The 17,009-nt window shown below is 55.7% G+C and overlaps 1 protein-coding gene across 4 annotated transcripts in view, besides 6 other annotated features; it reads left to right on the top strand.

Moving 5' to 3' along the window:
• CCDC85C (coiled-coil domain containing 85C) overlaps positions 1-17,009 on the top strand; it is a 104,018-nt gene that overhangs the window by 31,361 nt on the left and 55,648 nt on the right. The window lies entirely within an intron of this gene.
• Positions 653-1,572: an enhancer, noted in NCBI's record as "H3K27ac-H3K4me1 hESC enhancer chr14:100037612-100038531 (GRCh37/hg19 assembly coordinates)". NCBI's record gives its function as "activates a minimal SCP1, AML or CMV promoter by ChIP-STARR-seq in naive H9 embryonic stem cells {active_cell/tissue: H9 hESC(naive)}" and the evidence as "EXISTENCE:reporter gene assay evidence [ECO:0000049][PMID:30033119]".
• Positions 1,573-2,493: an enhancer, noted in NCBI's record as "H3K27ac-H3K4me1 hESC enhancer chr14:100036691-100037611 (GRCh37/hg19 assembly coordinates)". NCBI's record gives its function as "activates a minimal SCP1, AML or CMV promoter by ChIP-STARR-seq in naive H9 embryonic stem cells {active_cell/tissue: H9 hESC(naive)}" and the evidence as "EXISTENCE:reporter gene assay evidence [ECO:0000049][PMID:30033119]".
• Positions 2,494-3,413: an enhancer, noted in NCBI's record as "H3K27ac-H3K4me1 hESC enhancer chr14:100035771-100036690 (GRCh37/hg19 assembly coordinates)". NCBI's record gives its function as "activates a minimal SCP1, AML or CMV promoter by ChIP-STARR-seq in naive H9 embryonic stem cells {active_cell/tissue: H9 hESC(naive)}" and the evidence as "EXISTENCE:reporter gene assay evidence [ECO:0000049][PMID:30033119]".
• Positions 5,254-6,173: an enhancer, noted in NCBI's record as "H3K27ac-H3K4me1 hESC enhancer chr14:100033011-100033930 (GRCh37/hg19 assembly coordinates)". NCBI's record gives its function as "activates a minimal SCP1, AML or CMV promoter by ChIP-STARR-seq in primed H9 embryonic stem cells {active_cell/tissue: H9 hESC(primed)}" and the evidence as "EXISTENCE:reporter gene assay evidence [ECO:0000049][PMID:30033119]".
• Positions 8,014-8,933: an enhancer, noted in NCBI's record as "H3K4me1 hESC enhancer chr14:100030251-100031170 (GRCh37/hg19 assembly coordinates)". NCBI's record gives its function as "activates a minimal SCP1, AML or CMV promoter by ChIP-STARR-seq in naive H9 embryonic stem cells {active_cell/tissue: H9 hESC(naive)}" and the evidence as "EXISTENCE:reporter gene assay evidence [ECO:0000049][PMID:30033119]".
• Positions 8,934-9,855: an enhancer, noted in NCBI's record as "H3K4me1 hESC enhancer chr14:100029329-100030250 (GRCh37/hg19 assembly coordinates)". NCBI's record gives its function as "activates a minimal SCP1, AML or CMV promoter by ChIP-STARR-seq in naive H9 embryonic stem cells {active_cell/tissue: H9 hESC(naive)}" and the evidence as "EXISTENCE:reporter gene assay evidence [ECO:0000049][PMID:30033119]".

Below are 17,009 nucleotides of genomic sequence, written 5' to 3'. Positions count from 1 at the left end.
CTGTTGCACACCAGGCCCCGTTTCCATGCTCCTGGGATACTTCCATGAAGCAAGACAGACAGAAGTCTCCTTTGGAAGATGGATAAACTGGCAAACAAATCCATGGATGGGACAGTTTCATATCCTGGTGAGTGCTAGGAAGAGCAGAAAACAGATGGTGGCAGGGGAGGCCTCTTAAGGAGGGGCCAGGTCACCTGGGGCTTGGATGATAAGCAGCTGTCGTCCCTGGAAGGTTTCCAGCAAAGGACAGATGTCAGAGCTTTCCCGGAGCTGACCAGGCCCTGTGGCTGGACTCTGGTGACCGAAGGGGGCAGGGTAGGAGGAGCTATTGGGGTTGGGATTTTATCTAAAGCCTGGCGGAGGTGTGATACCTGATCATTTATACTTGTGAGGCCCTCTGGCTTCCCTGTGGAGCAGGGCCTTGGGGTGGGGGTGGGAGCCGGGATTGCAGGCTGAGACACTAGCCCGCAGCGCCCGCAGTGTCCCGTGAGGAAGGCCACATGCCACAGCTTTCAGTTTCCTTGGGGAAAGTAGCGGGGAGGAGACGGCAGTGATGGCATGAAAAGACCCATCCCTGGGGAGGGAGGGACTCTCGGGGAGGGCCACAGCCTGGCCATTCACTAACGCTGCTGGGGCCAGGGCCACTGAAGCCCACCCTGGAGGTCTTTCTAGGGACCACCACCCTGTGAATTTGAGCCCTCAGGCTTGGGAGGGTATGTGGGGAATCTGGCCCTTGCCGCTGCCTTCCAGAGACTTGCGGGTGCTGGGTTAGGGTTGGGGGCTCTGGGGATCACGCTCTGAGATGCCCCGTGGAAGGGTGCCTGCTGCAGGCAGTCTCCAGCTCCTTGGCCCACATGCCTCACTCCTTGTCCCCTCCAGTTCCTTCCCCTGAGGCTTCAGGGCCTAGCTCAATGAGGCAGGAGGCTGGATAGGTGTGATGTCCCAGGCCACCCATGTGCCAAGAGGTGCCAGAAAGCAGGAAGAAAAGGGGCAGGTGGGATTTGTTGTTCTGATCAGCTCACTGGAGACAGGCTCTTGTCACAGGGGGCATTGAACTGGGCACCTACCTGCCTGAAATATTTACATTGGCAAAGGCCCGGACAGGCCACAAATTACCCTGTGCATGTGATTCCATTTCCCAGCCACTTTTTTTCTCTAAGGAGTTGCTGGCATCGTAAATCTTACTGCAAACAGTGGGGAAGAAAAGAATCTGAGATTCTACAAAGCACATTTAACATCCATGACTGTGTTTGATCTTTCCAGTGGTGGAGGGGCCCGCCTGCTCCCCTGCAGACGTGGCTGAACCTCCCCGTCAGGGTAGCCCAGTGCTGCTGCCTGTGGGCCTTTGGTCTGCGTCTCAGCCTTCCAGTGGGGCCTACAGAACGGCACGGCTGTGCACCTCTGGCACCTGCACGCCCAAAAGGCACTTGGTCATCACAGCAGCTGGAGCTGGGGGGTTATCGTAACTTGGTAGCCATTATTATTATTATTATTATTATTACTACTACTACTATTGCTGCTGTGGCTGTGCCTGTTCCAGTAGCTCTGGCAGGCAGGCCTTGGCGAGATGGCCTGGGGAGGGAGTTTGTGAGGCCCAGGTTAGAGTCCTGCATGTTGGTTCTGGAAGGGACTTCTTGTCTCCCAGCCCCTCCCCCATGATCCCTGTCTCCGGCTGGCCCCTCACTGCACTGCCTTTGTCTTCCTCATCCTTTGTCTTCATTCCTCCTTCCCGTGAGGGTGGGGTGGTCTGCTGAAGAGGGAGTGTCCCTGGCAGGTGGGGTCACTTGGGCACAGGCAGGGGTGGCAGGGCTGGCCGGACAGTAGGTGGGAGTGGGGGAAGCTCCAGGGCTGACTTTGTGCTGGCTGTGAGTTGGAGAAGCCCCTCGTGGGATCTGGGAGGCAGGGGTGGGTTGCCTTCCCCCGCCTACTGGGAGGGAAGGAGGCCCCTTTCCATTTCCTGGGACCACCCAGGCCAGTTGGTTGCCTGTGCCCACCCAGCGGGGCGGCTCTGCCCTTCTCCTTTTCTGCTAATGCCCCACCGTTTGTGTGTAGGTCTGGCTCTTTCTGCCCCTCCTCCAAAGCTGCACGTGCCTGTGAGCTCCACACTTTCTGTTCTGCTCAGGGGCCGGGAAGGTGAATATCTAGATAAGGAGAATCTGGTGCCGGGAAGACCCCCTGGACTGTAGGATAGCTCTCTTGAGGTCCTGGAATGCATTTTATGTCTCCTGCCTGGCCTGGAAGGTTATATCCCTGGCCCCACACCCTCCCATGACCCTCTCCTCCTGTCCCCCTCCCTGAAAAAGAAGCATCCGAGGCCCAGCCCCGAGCCCCTGCCGTCTGGGCTCTGCCTGGGCCCCTCTGGCCCCTGCCGTGACTCCTCATCCACAGAGTGGTGTCCGTTCATCTGTGTGGAAGGGTCAGGGTGTGGCAGGGGCCAGGCACGCAGGTGCTGCCAAGCTGTCTGAGGTCAGCACCTCCCCCACCATCCTGACCATTCTGAGCCTGGCAGGATAAAGAGGTCACCTGTCCAGGGCCCCAGGGCCTGGCTCACAGTGGCCCCAGCATTGGTTGCTGTGTGGCCCTGGGCTTTGTGAACTTCTCTGTGCCTCTTTCCTCAGGGGTAAAGTGGGGAGATGCTAGAACTTTCCATATTGCAGGGCTGCAATGAGGGCTGGATGGGATGAGGTATGTGAGGCACTCAGAACAGATGTGAAAGCTGCGCGTGGATGCCCCTGCCTGGCAGGGGGATTTGGTCTCAGGAGGGCACATTTCAAGCCCCACTTCCTTCCTGGAGTCCTCCCTGTCCCCACAGGTCCGTGTCCTGCCTACCTGTGAACCACTCAGGGTAACGCTGGGCCTGAGCTCAGGCTCTTTCTTTTTTTTTTGAGACAGTGTGTTGCTGTGTCACCCAGGCTGGAGTGCAGTGACACTATCATAGCTCACTGCAGCCTTGACCTCCTGGGCTCATGCTATCCTCCCGCCTCAGCTTCCCAAAGTTGGGATTACAACAGGGGTCTTTCTAACCTCCAGTATCCGCAGATGTTCCAAATCAGTCCTGCCTGGGTCTAGATCCCTCCCTGCGTCGCCTTGGAGCATTGCACCTGAAATGTGGGGTGTGTGACATGTTGGGGGGAAGCAGAGGTGCAAAGAACTAGCAATGTCTCAAGTGCTGATGAGGTTGCCTGGGGTGGTGTAGGATCCAGGTTTGAGGCTGGATGTGCCTGGGTTCAGCTCTTGGCTCTGGAGTGTCCTGGCTTTTTGGCCTGGGACCGTTGAATCACTGTCTCTTGTCTGTTCAAAGCCTTCCTGGGTAGGTGGCATTGGTTTTTGTGGCTGTGGGTTTGGTCCCAGCCCTGGGGCAGCCGTAACTGCTTAGATCCCCAGGCAGTGGTGGGTGCCTCTGTGGGGCAGGGCAGCCTGGCGGAGCTGGGGCCCAGGTGTGGACATCCAGGGAACCCTTTGGAATACTGTCTGGTGGAGCCGAGCACACACCCCACTGGCCCAGCAGCCTGTTTGTTTTGGGGACATCAGTGCTTCAGAAACCAGAGCCCTGTGTCATGTGGTTCTGTTTCTTGGTTCCTTGTTTTCAGCCTTCGTACTGGAGGGCCACCCCTGGGAGTTGGGAGGATTTAGGTCTTCCTTCACGAAGATGGGTCGACGTGGGCCTTACTGCTTTATTCTTTGGTTAAAGATGGATATTGCTGTGGCTAGGTCTGGGGACGGGGCTTGGCAGACAGTGAGGACACAGGCCAGGAGTGGGGATTTGATGTCCCCTCTTTGAGCTGCCTCTGTCTGCAGTGACGCCTCCTGGGGTCCCCAGGAACCCTCAGCTAGCCCATGGACCTGGGGCTGTGCCAGGCGCCAGCCCTCCCAGGAGAGAGAAGTTCCTCCTGCCTCCAGAACCCATGTTCAAGGTGAGGTGAGGCAAGGACCCTGCAGAAGTCTGCTGGAGCGTCCCCTCATCACGGTTCCCTTTCTGTCTGTGACATGCTGACTCTCCACATTGTTGATGGCCTGGTGGAGAGGCTGACTGAAGTCACGTTTTATCTGCCCTTTTCTCAGAGCCTGTGTCTGGCTTTGGGCCAAACCACTAATAATAAAGCAACTTGAAGTACTCCTCACATTTGTGGGATGTGCAGCCCAGCGGCCCTGCCCTCCTGCCCCGAGCGAGGCCCAGCGGCATCCTCCTTGAGGGTTTCACCCTGTCGCCCCCTGTTAGCTCCTCTGCAGCCCCCTCGGGGTTGGCACTGGGTCCAGCGGCCACGTCTTTCCTGAGCGGGGTCCTCAGGTCGTCATGCAGGCTTGCCTGTGGTAGTGGGGGTGCTGTCTTCTAGGTGTGCAAGGGCTTGCCTCCCACCCCCCAAGGAAGCTGGGGAGGCGGGATATGCCCTGAGCTGCCTCGGACAGAGGTTCTGAGAGAGGAAGGCCAAGGAGGAAGGAGGAGTTAGGAGGGGTCTGGGGACCTGGGGCCCCACCACTCCAGCCCTTTAGAAATGCGCATGAACCCATGAGACTATAGTGAGCCGAGATCGTGCCATTGCACTCCAGCCTGGGTGACAGAGTGAGACTTTGTCTCAAAAAAAAAAAAAAAAAAAATAAAGGGCAGGTGGCCTCCAGAGAGTGTCTGTGGCTTCCCCAGGGCTCCCCTTCCCTGCTGTCCATGAATTTGTTCCCCAATACGGGGCCTGGGGCTGCTAGGCCAGGGCCATTCAAACTGGGCAGTTGTACCAGCCTGAGCCCCTCCTGCCTCTCTGCCTAAAGGGACCAGGCCAGTCTGGGACCAGTGCCCTGGAGTCTCTGCATCTAGACCTGCTTCAGTTCCTGGGTATTTAACCATTTCCTCTGGGGGTGGGAGTGGGGGGCAGTCTTGTGTATTTGGAGTCATCCGCAGCTGTCGAAAAGAGTGCTGGCATCTTTGTTTGGCTGTAGCACCCTGTGTGATCCAGGTCCCCAGCCCCAAGGTGGCAAGCTGGAAAGCTGGAGACAGGCATGTGCATTTCTTTTTTGTTTTGTTTTGTTTTGAGACAGAGTTTCGCTCTTGTTGCCCAGGCTGGAGTGCAATGGTGCGATCTAGGCTCACCGCAAGCTCCTCCTCCCAAGTTCAAGCGATTCTCCTGCCTCAGCCTCCCAAGTAGCTGGGACTGCAGGCATGTGCTACCATGCCCAGCTAATTTTTGTATTTTTAGTGGAAACGGGGTTTCACCATGTTGGTCAGGCTGGTCTTGAACTCCTGACCTCAAGTGATCTGCCCACTTCGGCCTCCCAAAGTGCTGGGATTACAGGCATGAGCCCCTGTGTCCGGCCTCCTGCCCTATCTTAAGATTAGTTTTATCTGCCGCACCTTGGCTGTCCTGGCCCAGGGGTCCCTCCTGCTGGTGAGAACACAGCCTTACCAAGCTCTTTAGGAAACTGCAGGTGCCCTGATGGGGTCTCGGCACCACCATGCCTCCCCTGGTTGTCACGCCCCCAACTCATCCACCCGAAAAACTTCTGTCCCTCCTGTGACCCCCCTGGGGCGACCAGAAGTCCCATCTGCTGTGTTCCTGTGGGTCTGTTCTGTGCGGCCACATCCTTATCACAGTGTATAGACCGTGCCTGGCTGGAGCGAGCTTTAGGGTGACTTGTGAATGTGTGGGTGAACCTGCTCTTCCTGTGACTGTGCACTCATCTGTCCTCCTACATCAGCGCAGATGAGAATCGGGAGGGACCGCTTCCCATCTCACACATGAGGAAGCAAGGCTGAGGCCCAGAGATGGGCCGCGTTGGAGGGGAATCTAGGCCTGGACTACTTGGGAACTTGGGTGGCTCTTGGCTTGGCTTTGAAAGGGCAGAGGGGTTCGGGCCCTCTTGAGGCTGGAGCGCTGCCTTCTGGTTTTCTGGGTGTACTGGATGTTATGCTAGCATGCTCACCTCAGGAAGCCAGGGCACGGCAGGCCGCCACCTTGAGAGTGGAAGCCATCTAGGCCCCTTCCCTTCAGTAGAGGGTGCAGGACAGTGAAATGTCCAAGGCCCTGGTCACCCTGAGAGGCCCCTGCTGCCTGCCTCCTGCAGGCCCCCTCGTTGGGAGGGACCACGTGATGGGGTGGTTCATGCCAAATGCTGCCCAGGTGCCATGGTGGCCAGTGGACGTGGGGCAGAGTTTGCTTACAGGCCTTTTCAGGGTAGCAGGTGCCTGGTAGGAGGTGGGCGCCTGCCCAGACACTGATTCCATGAGGCTGTCCTGATGTAAATGGGTGCAGAGTTCATGGGGCCAGGCAGGGAGAACAGGCATTTGAGACCTGGGGGAGCCGAGGGACCTTGGCACCTTGCACACACTGGAGGTCAGTGTGAACCTGAAGCCCCACCTCTCCGGATGGAGGGGAGGGGAGGAGAGGTGGGAGGCCAGGGGTGTATCCCTGAAGATCCCGGCTGTGAGCCAGTCAGCCCTGGATTCAAAATCTTAGGCTACCAGGAACCATTCTTGGTGAGTACGTAATTTACAGCACTGTCCAGAGCTTCGGTTTCCCCACCTGTAAAACAGGGCACTGATAGTGCTTACCTTGGAGGTCTGAGATGATCCATGCAGTGTGCTTGGCCCTGTGCCTGGCACATGGTAAATGCCAACAAGACATTGGCAGTGATGCTGACTGGCAGGAGTGAGTCGTCCACCGAGTGGGTGGTCAGGAAAGACCAGTTTCCTTTTCAAGTAGCATTCAGTACGATTCTGGAGCGTAGGGCTGGGAGAGCACAGAGCCCCTTGCAGCTTCCTTCCCTAGTCTCCTGTGACCCTCCATAATGTTGCCTGTTTGCTGTCAGAGTTGTCTCCATCAGTTGGCCTCATGGTCAGCGGTGCCCAGGACATTTCGGCGCTGCGTTACGACAGCTCATTGTGCCTCTGGGCTCGGGGCTGGAGCAGACGGGCGCAGCAGCCCTGCGGCTGAAAGCCACCGTCCCCTGCATTGGTGGAGGCTGCTGGCATGCCCTCGTGTATCATCCTGCCTCTTCTCTGGGGTCTCCCCACCCTCCTCCCTGGCCTGGCCTTCTGGAAACCCATTTGTGTTTGTTGCTCTTCTGGAGTCTTTTCTGCTTGGGTTGGGGTGTCCACTATAGACTCTTCCATGAACCCAACAGCCAGACAATGAGTTATTAGGCAGGTGGGGTGGGGGCCGGTGTCCTCCCGGGCTTCTGTATCCACCTGCACCAGGGAGAGAGGAGGCAGCTCTTCCCGGCTGCCCATGCAGCCTGCCCCCGCTCCCAGCCTCCCTCCTGGCTGCATGAATCACAGAGACACACTCTGCCCCTGGGTTCATGCACCTGGAGCATGTGACCAACCTAATTTTTAGGCTTCCAGTTATTCTAGAACTTGAATTTGTCCAGGCCAGTGCTACTAAGGTTTTAGATGATCTCTTGTAGAGGGTTCTAGGTTGTCTCCCTTTTATGGGAGGGATTGAAGGCTTTCCTCCTCCTCCTTCCCTTCTCCACATTGTGCCAGGCATTGCATGCCAGGGGGTGCCAACCCAGGCATCCCTCTGCACTGGGGGTCAGACCTCCATGGCGTGAGAGAGCCTGCTCAGAGCTGAGCCCCGCAGGGGTGGTGGAGGAGGAGGGGATTGTGCACACGACGAGCTGTGGAAGGTGAGAGGGGCAGCTGGAATTAATGCAGGGGGATGGGCTCCAGCGAGCCCAAGAACAGGGCCAAGTCCCATCATCCCCAAGTGGCCATGCTTTAGTTTCAGCAGCTCTTGGTGGAAAACCAGTTGGGGGACAGTGAGCTCACCGGCCCATGACTAAAAGCCAAGTGCAGCCGCCTGGCTGCATGATCAGAGGCCGCGGGCTGCCGGGAGAGGGTCTGCGTCCCCTCTCCTTGGAAGGCGGTTGGTTGCCCCCTGTGGCAGCTGCCGCCACGCAGATCCCGCACCTTCTGGAGCTTCCATGGACGAGTGCACGTTCTCCAGTGAGTGTTTTCTCTGCACTTGTCCCCACGCCCTCCCCACCCGTGTCCAGTGTCCCTCTAAGCTGAACTCAGTCTGTCCAGAAGGCTCAGGTTGGCTGGGTTCCTAGCCTTCTGTAAGGAAAATTTAATTTGGACGGTTGCCAAGGGGCCTTAAAAGGCTGGATGTTGTTCCTGCTGTTGTGAGATGGGCCTGGACGAACCAGCAGCCAGTACTGTCTCAGCCTCCTGATTGCCCCAGCCAGATACTTCCTGCCACTGGGACTGCATGACAGGCCCTCGGGGATGCACACACCAGCCAGCTGGGGCCTGCCCCCCTGGGGGGCTCAGAGTCAGGTGGTAGAGACATTACAAGATGAGATAGAATAAAAAAGAACTAGAGGTGCTGGCGCCCAGGACAGATAAACGGTGTCGTGCAACTCAATAGGGAAATCAGGAAGGCTCCATGGAGGAGGAGGCTTCAGAAAAGTGCGGACGTGCTCCTGCTGACCAAAACCCTAACATGCTGCAAGGTGGGCACAGGCATATGGGGCATGTCCTGGGGTCAGCTGGGCCCTGCTGCTGCTGGCTTCTCCACCCTCTTCCATCTTGTGGGTCTGGGGAGGGTGCAAGGAGGAGAGTGCAAGACCCTGGTGCTTCTTGGTTATCAGGACCAGAGAGCAGCAAGGACGCAGCAGTGGGTGCGAAGAGGTCTCCACCTGTCTGTCCCCTTCACTGCGCAGAACAAACAACAAAACAAGAAACTTCTGTGGAGAGACAGTGCTCTCTTCCATGGCTAATGGGAGTGAGGTCCAGCCTCTATGGAGCGTAATCTGGTCATTTCTAGACAATTGCAAAGGCAAGTCCCCTTCAACCAGCAATCCCACCACCTGTGTACATGTAGGCTGGAAATTTTTCCTGCAGGAAAACGGGCTGCTTATACACTTGCAGATGGTCCGTGCCCAGGCTGCTTACTTGAAGCGATGCTTGAAATGGCCAAGTTTGGGAACAGCCCAGGGTTCCATTGCCAAGGACCTGTGCCCACCCCCTGCCCCACATACCCTGGAGGCCGTGCTCAGAGGGCAGACTCTGCTAGCCCATCTGGCTCGTGCCCAGGAATGGCACAGTGAATTTATTCCTTCCTGCCTATGCCATTTTGCATGTCCCCTTGCCCACAGAGAGGCACAAGGGATGCTGGCACATGGAGGCCAGCACGGCCCACGGGAGTGGGTGATTTATGTCTGCCGGCTGGTGAGCGCCATGCCGCTGCCTTCTGCCCGCCTCGTGGGAAGCATGGTGCCTGACATCTCCCTGCCTGCTCTCTCACCCTCCCATTTCCTCCCTATATCTTGCAGATGCAGAGTGACCACCTTATTATCTGGTGCTTCTGCCGGCTCCCCCTTTGGGGGATGTACCTGCCCGAGTTATTCCCAGATGGCCCAGTTGTGCTCGAAGCTGCCTGTGCCTGTGGGCTCAGGAGCAGAAGGTGGCCAGGGCAGGGTGAGGGGGGCGTGGCTTGGGCCAGTTTCCCAGGTCTCCTGCCCACAGCCCTGCTGGGTCCTGACAGCATGAGCGATTGCCTTGCAGAGGCTGCTCCCTGCACCGCGCCATCTGGCGGGGCTATTGTTGACCATACAAAGGATGGAACGCGGCAGGGCAGGGGCCCAGGCCCGAGGAGTGGACGGAGAAGCAGGAGGGAGGATGCCTGGCCTCCCAGTGCACCCAGTCCCTGCCATGGCTGAGGCATCTGTTTTATTGCTTCTTGGGTTGGGGAGTGGAGGGGGCAAAGGATCCCCCTCTACCCTTCCAGAATCTTCAGCTTGGATGCTTTAAACTCTGGTTCTGAGCTGATTTATTACTCTGCTAAGATGCAAAGGCCGTTTTATGTACTAGGTAATTAAGTGGCATTATAGACGGCTCGAGAGTAAGTGGCTGCTGTTTTAATAATTAAAATAAATGACCCCTGGACTGTTCCCCAGCTCAATACTCTTTCCGCAGTGTCAAGACCCTGGAGAGACAGAGTGAGTGTGTGAGTGTGCACATACCTGTGTGTGTGTGTGCATATGGGTGTGTGTGTGCATATGAGGGTGAGTGTGTGAATATGCACTTGTGTGTGGATGTTTCTGGGAGCGTGCCTTTGTGTGTACATGTGGGCATGTGCATACATTTGTACACACGTGTGTGCATGCATGTGTGTGTGAGGGTGAGGTGTGCAGGAGGGATGGAGGAGGAGGTGGCTCCTTTGTGACCTTCTGTTTCCGTGAGAACCCTTGGGACACACCTCTCACCCAGGTTGGGGGTTCCCTGTCCTGGATTAACTTTTGTTTCACCCAGAGGCCAGGCCAACCTAGGCAGGTTTCGGATATCGCCTCCTGTGTGGGCCAGCCCTGGTTCAAACCCGAGCTCTGGCCCTATGTGGCTGTGGCCAACTGCCCTTCCTCAGAAGCTTGGTTTTTGTGCCTGTACAGTGAGGGTGGCCATGTCCATCTCATGCACCATGTGCCTGATGTCCAGCAGCGCGTTACTGTTCCTCAGTGATTGTGTGGCATTGCGCTGTGGCTCTGTGGCACTTGGTTAGGGCTTGTGGAGGTAGAAGGGTGAAACTGGCTGGCCACTGCCCTCAGGGGTGCCAGAGGAGGGAGGGGCAGGAGCCAAGGTGATGGGCAGAGATGAAATGGGGAGCAGGACCTGGGGACCCCCAGGTAGCCAGGGGGTTTGCATAGGCCCGGGGGCAGAGGGTCAGCTTGCTGGAGGGCGTCGCTCTCTTCTGCCTGGTTGTGCTTTTGTTTTGTGGAAGGGTGGCCTTTTCCCAGAAGACGTGGGCCATGATGACATCATCATGTCCTCACCTGTGGGGTAACACTGGGCTGGCTCCCTACCGGGCATTTCCGTGAATAGGTGGAGCTGAAGGAAGCAGGTGTTCCAGTCAGTGGCTCTGCACTGAGGTCCTCGCGTGGGGAGCCCAGGAAGAGGGATGAGGAAGGAGGGGATAAGCACGTCACTGCATGCCAGGCAAGGGCCAGGCCCCCTTGGTGCCATTCCCTACTGAGTGGAGTTTCGTTTAATCTCACCAACGCCGTAGCGCAGGGGATTCTTTCACAGCTGGGTTCCAAAACCTAAGGCCGTCTCCCTGCTCCCACCTGGCATCCCTCCTCTGCCCCCTTCCCACATTTACCCAGCTTCATGTGTGCTGGGCACAGTGCCTGGAGCTTGTGGGTTCTCCAGGCTGGGGCCCTGGGTGGCTGTGGTGTGCGCCTGGGCCCCTGGGGGCTGTTTCCTCATCTGCAGACTGAGAAATGGAGGGTCTGCCCGCTCGCAGCACAGAGCAGGTCCTGCAAGGTCTGAGCCAGGAGCCACTGCATGGCGCCCGCCCCTGGTGCCCAACAAAGGACAGTAATGCTGATTTATGACCTGATTTTCCAGTGGGGGAGGGACTGCCCTGTAGGTGTCCCCTGGAGGGAGACCAAGTACCAGCAGAGCGCTCTGCTGCCGTGGAGGATGGCTGGGCAGGTGCCCAGGCCCCACCCCTGCTGAGCCACATGCCAGTCCAGCTGGTCACGGGGCTGTCCACTCTCTGTGACATGGGTTTGTAGGAATGGATGCTCTGTGCCTAGAGCGACCAGGTGCCAGCTGGTGTCCCTAAGGCCTGTGTTCCTGGACACTGGGTCTCCCTGCCTGACCTTGGGTCTGGTGGCATTTTTCACATCTGACCTTTCAGAGTTTTCCTCCTGGCCTTGGGTCCCAGGAAGCCAGGGCCGCTACGGCCATGTGGCTTGTCGGGAGCCCTGGAGGCGTGTGGCAGCAGGCACCCCCCCATGCACGTAGTGGGTGGGGCTTCAGCACTCAGTGGCTTGTGGATTCTGCCGAAGGGAGCAGCAGAGCCCTCTCTGCAAATGCAGCCCTGCCCTGTGGAGACTGAGGGAGGCAGGGGAACTGTCCTGTGGCCCGGCCCAGGCTTCTAGTGGACACAGGCAGCTTTACCCTGGCAAGGCTCCCTGTGGGCCTGGGGGTGGAGGCCTTGTGGGAGCCCTGTTCTCTGAGGAGGCCCGTCCCTCTCCAGACCTTGCTTCCCTTCTGCAGAGATGGCTTGGCTCCCATGGGCCCTGGTATCGGGCAGAGGTGGTCTGTGGCTGTTGATGAACAAACCTGCTCGCTTGGTGTTCTGCGACTCCGCCCAGGCGGCCACTCTCTCACCTGTTTCCCTGCCCTCAAGACCTTTCTCTAGGCCATAGGGTTGGGGCAGCAGGGAGGAGGCGTGCATTGAGTACACCGGGCCCAGCGAGCACAGCCCACTCTGCACCCTCCTCCAGTGGCATTTGAATGCCCAGGTGGACAGAGCCTGCGCAGCCCCTTCCCTGTGAGGCGGGCGTGATGCTGGCGGTCTGGGGGCTGCTCTGAGAATAGAGAAGCAGTGCTGGGGCCGGGCCTGGCGCCTGGCATACAGGTGCCCTGGAGTCTCTGTGTGTGGTACTCATGGCTCTCCTGCCTCCCCTGAGGTTCCACTGATGGTGCTGTGAGCAGTCATCCCTCCCAGGGATCTCGTTGAGTGTGTGGTTTGTATCATTTTACAGATGGGAAAACTGAGGCCCAGAAGATTCATGGGCTGTCCTAGGCTCTCCCGGCCCAGACCCTCCCACCTCCTGGCTGCCCCTTCACCCTACCCAGCCCTGGCTGCAGCGTTGGTGCCCGCAGGCATGAGGCAGGCATGAGGGCTGCGTGTGTGGGTGGGCAGACCCCCTTCCTTGCTAAGAGGGCAGCCTTTGGTGGAGGCCACTCTGGGCTGAAAGGTCCTGGGTCCCTTTCCCTGGTGTCCAGGGAGCATCTATCCAGGGGGCAGCTGGTGTGAGTAGGTTCCTACAAGGAGGGAAAGAACACCTGGCTGTGTGCAGGGGGTGAGTGGGGCCTAGGTGCAGGTTTGATTTTTTTTTTTAATTTCAAAGGGGATGTGTTCCCTAGAGAAGCTTAGGAAGATGGGGAAATGTAGAAGAAAAACCCAGACCCATGCAACCCAGTCCCGTGGCCTCTGCTGGGAAGATTTCTTTCCCCTGAGATTGATCTGTGTGTTCTCTCCCGGGCAGGGGTGTGCTGGCTGCGGGCCCACCTGCTGTGGGTTTATGTGGAATCTGGCTTTTTCAGTCCACGCTGCATCAGATGCATTTTTCCTCTTAGTCTGCAGCCACCCTGTCAGTGGCTACATCACAACCCTGCAAGCGGGTTAACTAGAATTTCCTTAACAGCTCCTCGGCTGCTAGACATGGGCACGTTGCTCCCTGATGGAAGAGACAGCCAGCCTTCCTCACTGCAGTGTTTTTGGTTAACAGGCGACTGCTGGCTGGTGAAGTTGTGATCGGTTTGGAGGCTGTGGCAGGTGGCTCCGAGTTACCTCAATGGAAGTCACTTTGGGAAATGAGGCAGAAAGTTGCACAGGATGGCAAATGTGGTGGGTGACGAAGTGTGTCTGGAATTTGCTCAGCCTTCTCTCGTCAGTGATGTCATGTTTACCCTTAAAAATCTATAAGAGAAGGTGTAATAGCTTCCTACGGCACTACCACGAATGGCCACATTATGATGGTCATTTGTGATGGCAGCCACAGCAAACGATCACGTGGGAAACCCTAGGGGTCTTAAAACAACAGAAATTTGTTCTCTCACATTTTTGGAGGCCAGAAGTCCAAAGTCAAGGTGTCAGCGGGGCCAGTTCCTTTTGGAGGCTCTCGGGGGGACTCCTGTATTCGGCTGCTCTCGCATTGCTGTAAAGAAATACCTAAGATTGGGTAATTTATAAATAAAAGAGGTTTAATTGGCTCACAGTTTTGCAGGCTGTCCAGGAAGCATGGCAGCACCTGCTCAGCTTCTGGGGTGGCCTCAGGAAATGTACAATCATGGCGGAAGGCGAAGGGGAGGCGGGTGCGTCTTGCAGGCGGGAGCAGGAGAAAGAGGGGAGTAGAGTGCGGGGAGGAGCCACACACTTTAAACAACCAGATCACAGAGGAACTGTATCACAAGAACAGCAATAGGGGGTGGCACTAAACCATCAGAAACCACCCGGATGATCCGGTCACCTCCCTCCAGGCCCCACCTCCAGCACTGGGGATACATTCAACATGAGATTGGGTGAGGACCCAGATTCAAACCACATCACCTTCCTTGCCTCTTCCTGCTTCTGATGACTCCTGGTGTTCCTTGGCTTGTGGCCTCATCTCTCCCATGTCTGCCTTTCTTTCCATCCGGCCTCCTCTGTTTCCATTTGCCCTTTTCTGTCTCTTACAAGGACACCAGTCATTGGATTAATTGTTTTTATTTTTATTTAATTTTTTTGAGACAGAGTCTCGCTCTATCTCCAGGCTGGAGTGCAGTGGCACAATCTTGGCTCACTGCAACCTCCACCTCCTGGGTTCAAGCAATTCTCCTGCCTCAGCCTCCCGAGTAGCTGGGATTACAGGCAACTGCCACCACGCCCAGCTAATTTTTGTATTTTTAGTAGAGGTGGGGTTTCACCATGTTGGCCAGGCTGGTTTGGAACTCTTGACCTCACGTGCAGTCACTGGATTTAGGGCCACCCTAATACAGTGTGGTCTCCTCTGGACCTTACCTTGACTACATGTGCAAAGACCGTATTTCCAAATAAGATCACATTCTGAGGTTCTGGGCGGACATGAATTTGGAAGGACACTGCTCGGCTTGCTACGGTAGGTGGCAGGGAGGTGGAGTGACTCTTCTGCTGTTGGGCAGATGATGAAGGCCAGTGGCTTTCACACGGCTGAGTTCTCTGCCATCAGTCCACACTGGAAACCTCGTGGTTTCAAGGAGACCCTGAGAAACTGTGGAGGTTTGTCCAGGTTTTTCCAGAATCGACTTAAATAGACCACTGAAGTAGACCTGGTTGATATTTTTTTCCCCTAAGATTAAGCTGCACACGCACTTTCTTCTGTGATATTTCATCCTTTCAGCTATTTTATGTTATGTTTGGAAGGGTGCGGACTAAAATAGTGATTGTTTCTTTTTTCTTTTCTTTATTTTTTTGAGGCAGAGTCTTATTCTGTGGCCCAGGTTGGAGTGCAGTGGCGCGACCTTGGATCACTGCAACCTCTGCCTCCTGGGTTCAAGCAATCCTCGTGCCTCGGCTTCTCAAGTAGCTGGGATTACAGGCGTGCACCACCACACCTGGCTAATTTTTGTATTTTTAGTAGAGATGGGGTTTCACCATGTTGGCCAGGCTGGCCTCGAACTCCTGGCCTCAAGTGATCCACCCACCTCGGCCTCCCAAAGTGCTGGGATTACATGTGTGAGCCATGTGGGAGCCACCTGTACCCTGGGCATTCCTTTCTCTGAGCCATTGTCTCCTTCTAGCCTGGCTTCACCTCTGCTGGGCCCAGGAGTGACTTGGTGAAGAGCCAGATGCAGCCTTTGCCTTGGGGCTGGCAGATGTTTAAAGATGGACACTAGATGACCCTTGTTTCTATATGGGGAAATGGCACAGACAGGGAGATGGGTGAGCTCACCTGTCCAGGATCACAGAGTGAGCCAGGCAGTGGCCAAGGGACCAGCATCCCTCAGATGCTGGCCTTGTTAACCCAGCTCTTGTCTCTTCCTCCAGCCGAGAACAGCCTGGGCTGTACCTGGTAGACGATCTCTGAGACCACGTGCCCTGGTGAATTAGAGCCTGGGCCTTGGGAAAGGGCTTTGGGCTCAAATCCCGACTACAGCACTTTCTGCTTTGTGATCTTAGATGAGTCTCTTCATCTCTGCGAGCCTCAGTTTCCTCACTTTTCAATAGGAATAATTGCATTTTTCTCCGAAGGTTACTGTGAGGATCTGAGAAGGTAACAGAGGTAAAGTGCTCAGCATAACACCTCCCACGTGGTTCTATAAATGGAGGTGAAGATTTTTCTTTTCTTTTGAAATGAATTAAAACTTACAGAAAAGTGGCAAGAATGTACAAAAGGTGCTGATATAGCATTCATTTCGATTTGCCAACTGTTTTGACCTCATTGCTTATCATTCTCTCTCTGGACTTTTTTTTTTTTCTGAAGTATTTTAGAGACGTTAGAGTTAACACACCCCTTTCACACGAAATACCTTGGTACACATTTCTTAAGAAAAAGGACTTCAGCGGGGCACAGTGGCTCATACCTGTAATCCGAGAACTTTGGGAGGCTGAGGCAGGCGGATTGCTTGAACCCAGGAGTTTGAGATCAGTCTGGGCAACATAGTGAGACTTTTACAAAAAAGTAAAAATAAAAAATACTAGCTGGGTGTGGTGACATATGTCTGTGGTTCCAGCTCTTTGAGAGGCTGAGGTGGGAGGATTGCCTGAGCCTGGGAGTTCAGAGTTCAAGGTTTCAGGTGAGCCATGATCACACTGCTGCACTCCAGCCTGGGCAACAGTGAGATACTGTCGCAAAAAAAGAACGAGAACTTTCATATAGCATAGTGACAAAAAATGATCAATATCAGAACATTTAACGTTGATACTATTAATACTTGTCCCAATATGATGCTCTAGAGCAAGTTTCTTTTTTAAGAGACAGGGTCTCATTCTGTGACTCAGGCTGGAGTGCAGTGGTGTGATCATAGTTCACTGCAACCTCAACAGGGCTCAAGTGATCCTCCCGCCTTAGCCTCCCAAGTAGCTGGGACTACAGGCATGCACCACCATGCCCGGCTAATTTTAAAAATGTTCTGTGGAGGCGGGATGCCGCTATGTTGCCCAGACTGGTCTTGAACTCCTGGGCTCAAGTGATCCTTGCTCCATGGCTTCTCAGTGCTGGTATTACAGGCGTGAGCCACTGCACCCGGCCTGAGTGATTGTTTTCTAATGCAGGATCATATGTGGTCCATTCTCTCTTTAGCTTTCCTTCATTTGGAGCTGTGTCTCAATCTTTCTTTACATTGACATTTTTCCAACTGCATTGACAGTACAGACCGGTTCTTTGGTAGAAGATCAGCCGATCGGGCTGTCTGATGTTTCCGTGTCATTAGGTTCAGGCTGTGCATTTTGGGCAAGAACAGCCCACAAGGGACGTGTGTCTGATCAGGGGAACCTGAGGTGTGCATCTTGGGGTGTGAACTTGATTACGTGGTTTGGGAGGGTCCCCCA

This window comes from Homo sapiens, chromosome 14 (assembly GCF_000001405.40).
Source record: "Homo sapiens chromosome 14, GRCh38.p14 Primary Assembly".
NCBI lineage: Eukaryota > Metazoa > Chordata > Mammalia > Primates > Hominidae > Homo > Homo sapiens.
The sequence above is the reverse complement of the archived record's forward strand: the minus strand, read 5'-3'. Positions and strand labels throughout refer to the sequence as shown.